We start from the raw sequence: 4580 nt of genomic DNA, 5'->3' as shown, positions 1-4580 counted from the left end.
GTTCTTTATCTAAAACTTACATTTAACAAAGCATCATCTATTTTCTCTGACTACCCCACCCCAGGTACAGAATGCCTCCGGAAGTTTCTTTATCTTTTCTTTTTTTTTTTTTTTTGAGACAGAGTCTCGCTCTGTCACCAGGCTGGAGTGACTTGATCTTAGCTCACTGCAACCTCTGCCTCCCGGGTTCAAGGAATTCTCCTGCCTCAGCCTCCCGAGTAGCTGGGACTACAGGCGCGCACCATTACACCCAGCTAATTTTTTTTGTATTTTTAGTAGACATGGGGTTTCACTGTGTTGGCCAGGATGGTCTCGATCTCTTGACCTCGTGATCTGCCTGCCTCAGCCTCCCAAAGTGCTGGGATTACAGGCGTGAGCCATCGTGCCTTGCCTGCCTCCAGAAGTTTCTACTGAAGGCAGAGGTGAAAGGAAACCCGCTGTGAATGCTGACGTCTTATTCACTAGTCTTTGAACTCTTCTAGGGGCTGGCTGCCAGACTCAAAGCATTGTTTGCTTATGGGATGAACGTCTTAATGCAGGGAAACTGAATGGCCAGTTGTCATCAACCCAACCAAAGGGACTCCGCAAAAAAAGTAATGTTGTTGTTCTGTAATAGGTAAATGTCAGATAGTTCTATTCTCAATGGCAAGCTGATGAAGCCCACCCCAGTCCACACACTTTCTCTCCTGTTCAGAATCTGTTGCTAGGTGGGTGGCTCGGGCTGTTCTTCCTCTCCCTTCCTTGTTGCCCTCTCAGCCTCTGCAATGGGGCTGTGAGGAGACCAAACCCCATCAGCTCCTCCTTGGTATTTCCTCATTCCACCATTCAGAGCATTTCCCTGAACCTGTTTGCTGAGCATCTGGGCAAATATTTGGTGGGGAAAGTGATTTAATTTTTTTAATTGAGGTGAAATTCACATAACATAAAATTAACCTTATTTTTTTTTTTTCTGAGACAGAGTCTCACTCACTCTGTTGCCCAGGCTGGAGTGCAGTGGTGCAATCTCAGCTCACTGCCTCCTGGTTTCCAGTGATTCTCCTGCCTCAGCCTCCCGAGTAGCTGGGATTACAGGCACGTGCCACCATGCCAGGCTAATTTTTGTATTTTTAGTAGACATGGGGTTTCACCATGTTGGCCAGTCTGGTCTTGAACTCCTGACCTCAAGCAATCTGCCCGCCTTGGCTTCCCAAAGTGCTAGGATTACAGGCGTGAGCCACCGTGCCTGGCCAAATTAACCATTTTAAAGTGTACAATTCAGTGGCATTTGGTACATTCACAGTATTGTGCAACTTCCACCTCTATGTGGTTACAAAGCATTTTCTTCGCCCCTAGAGAAAACCCTGTACCCATGAAGCAGTTGGCTGTCAGCAATTTAAATTTAATTTTAAATTTTCACATTTTTAATTAAGCAAATTTAATTTCAAATTTGTCTCTTTAGAAATAGAGAGGCTCCCTCAAACTGCCCCTTGTGAGGCTGAAGTGAGGGGAATGAGAGAAATGGAAAGAGCAATTCTTGAGTTGAGTCAGTGGACAAGACTGGTTTCCAAACCTAATTGCAGATCTCTCACTGGTTTATAGGATTGAAGGCTATAGATTAAACGGCTCCAGAAAGACAGGTGTGTGCATGAAATGAGTCCCTGGTGATTGACAGAAGAGGGTTCACTTTAAGGCAGGGCTTACCAGGGAAAGTGGCAGAAGCTGCCAGACTATGCAAACAATGGGGAAGGGAGTCACAGGGCATGAAAGGGTCTTGTGAAGGGTGTAACCTGCTCACAGAGCACATTCTTGGGGACTAGGGTAAGAGAAGAGTCTACAAAAAGGAGCACAATGGGCTTGAGCTTCTGGGTTCAGAGGGAGCCGATGAATCACCTTGGGGAGGTGTCCCATTGCCCCTTGGCCAGTGAGAGCCTGAGATTTCCTGATTTACAGGAGTTGGTTCCTTCTCAGAGGAACACTTGACTCTCTCCTGTCTAGAGAGACCAATCCTCCTTATTGTATGTAAAATCTGGTGCAACTGCATTTTTGGAGACCACTGGTACTTCCTGCAGTGACTTGCTTGCAGCAGTTTTCTTTATTCTCCAGCTGGTTCCAGCTTCTTTTAATCTCTAGTTGTTTTCAGCAGTCCCTAGCTCACCACAAAGCCAGAAGCTTCCCAGTTTGGAACAGAGTTGCAGGGGTAATCCTCTTTGTTCAAGATTTGGGAGTTAACTGTTGGGCCAATGCCCCCTTTATTGCAAAGTTTGCAAGGAAAAGAACAAAGGAAGAGGAAGATCCACTGGGACAGTTGGAGCTGCCAGGTGGCACAGAGCTGTACAGTCCTTCACTGAACAAATGTTTATTGAGGGCATGCTGGCACAAGGCACTGCTGTAGAAGATGCAAGTGGTTATAGCCCACCCTGAGCTACTGCATTTTATGTGCCAGGCACTGTTCTTGGGGCTTTGCTTATATTCACTTATACTGAAGGACAACAGCCCAGTGATTATTTATGGGAAAGTGAGCTTTTCCCACCCTTGCCTCAGGGTGGCGGTTGCCCAAAAGTGGGGTTCGTCCTGTGTCCATGCCTCCTTACCTGCCACCTCAACCACCAAAAGGAACTGAACCTCCCCTGCTACTCCAGCTCATGTGCAATAATCACAGAACACAAGGAAGTTAGGGTAACAAGAGCAGAAAAGTGGAAAAACAAATACCTCTACCCCTCTGCACAGATGCTGTGTCTGCCTCACAAATATCTTTAACCTCCATCATCTCATCATTGCTCCCTTGCCCCATGGATGGAAGCAGTTGTCCCCTCTGTCTAGCTTTACAGACACTTTGCTCAAGCATCAGAGCAGATACAGTATTCAAATGGGATGCCCTGAATAATATGTCTTCTTTAGGCATCAGGCAGGAATGTCTGAAGATGAAAAACCCTAAAACAAGTGCACAAGGGCCTTGTTGATGTTTCTAAGAATAGCGCTGGGAGAATCTCCTTGGCCTAGCCTGGAAAGTCATCATTCATCCTGGGTTGCGGGGATGAAGAATCCTGCCAGTGTCATTCTATATACTCTTTTCTGATAAAGATACTTTGTTAAATGTAACTCAGTGCAATTTGATTTTATATCCTTAAAAGATTTCTTTCATATGAACAAATCCACAAGGTAAAAAAAAAAAAAGTTTTGGCCGGATGCAGTGGCTCATTCCCGTAATCCCAGAACTTTAGGAGGCTGAGGTGGGAGGATCACGAGGTCAGGAGATCAAGACCAGCCTGGCCAACATGGTAAAACCCGACTCTACTAAAAATACAAAAATTAGCAGGACGTGGTAGTGTGTGCCTGTAATCCCAGCTACTCGGGAGGCTGAGGCAGGAGAATCTCTTGAACCAGAGAGTTGGAGGTTGCAGTGAGCCGAGATTGCGCCACTGCACTCCAGCCTGGCGACAGAGCAAGACTCTGTCAAAAAAAAAAAAAAAAAAAAACCCTCCACTTTTTTTTATTTTTAATTTTTATTTATTTAATTAATTTTTTTGTATCATTATTTTTTTTGTGATGGAGTCTTGCTCTGTCGCCAGGCTGGAGTGCAGTGGTGCGATCTCGGCTCATTTCAACCTCTAACTCCCTGGTTCAAGAGATTCTCCTGCCTCAGCCTCCCAAGTAGCTGGGATTACAGGCACACGCCACTACGTCAGGCTAATTTTTGTATTTTTAGTAGAGACAGGGTTTCACCATGTTAGTCAGGATGGTCTCAACCTCCTGACCTCGTGATCCGCCCGCCTCGGCCTCCCACAGTGCTGGGGTTACACACGTGAGCCACCGTGCCTGGCCTAAAAAAAAGTTTTTATTGTGTCCTCAGTGGGGATCAGAAAATATAGTTACTGTGTTTTTCCTTCTGCATTCTGTCTGAAATTATGTCTTATTTTTAAATTTATTATTGAATGCCGCATACTGTCATTTTGTTTCCTATCTTGGATCAGGTTGTAGGTACTGTGTGTGAGTGTGCATTTGTGTGTGTGTGTGTGTGTGTGTGAGCGAGAGAGAGAATGTTGAATTGAGGTCTTTCAAGGAAGGGTTAAAGAGCCATGTGCGAATGAGCTTCTGTTCCACGGCAGGCATTTAGAATCACGGTGCTTAGAAGACGTGGTATAATGATAGGCTGCTGGTGATGATATTGCTTCCCTGGGACGCTTCAGGAAGGGTGAGGAGACTAATTGGCTGGTCTGGCAAACAATTCAAGATGAGACCAAAAGGAGGAGCCATCTGCTGGCAGGAAGTAAATGGAAATTCACCTTAGCGCTGGCCCTTCCACAGTGGGTGCACAGATGGTGACAGGCGGAACCCTTAGGGAGAGAGCGAAGGCCCTCATCTGCCAAGAGAGGAACAAAGGGGATTTGCTATTGCCTCCAGTGAACAGCCTCTTCTTTCATTTTGAGATCATGTAAGGAGTTTGCCCACATCACAAACCTGTTAGTATGAGCTTGGTGGCCTTGGGGAGTTTCCAGGCAGTATTACTGTGTAGAACTAAGAGTGAGGCTTTAGAGGAAGCAATGGAGATGGAAGTAATTGGTTTAAGATCCTGGACATGGGCACCCTCTAATCTGGGATGA

The 4580-nt window shown here is 45.9% G+C and overlaps 1 annotated feature.

Annotated features, from left to right (window-relative positions):
- Positions 3633–4133: an enhancer, noted in NCBI's record as "H3K4me1 hESC enhancer chr12:96465035-96465535 (GRCh37/hg19 assembly coordinates)". NCBI's record gives its function as "activates a minimal SCP1, AML or CMV promoter by ChIP-STARR-seq in naive H9 embryonic stem cells {active_cell/tissue: H9 hESC(naive)}" and the evidence as "EXISTENCE:reporter gene assay evidence [ECO:0000049][PMID:30033119]".

Source organism: Homo sapiens, chromosome 12 (genome assembly GCF_000001405.40).
Source record: "Homo sapiens chromosome 12, GRCh38.p14 Primary Assembly".
In the NCBI taxonomy this organism is placed as follows: Eukaryota; Metazoa; Chordata; class Mammalia; order Primates; family Hominidae; genus Homo; species Homo sapiens.
Note: the sequence above shows the minus strand (reverse complement) of the source record. Positions and strands in the feature narration are given on the sequence as shown.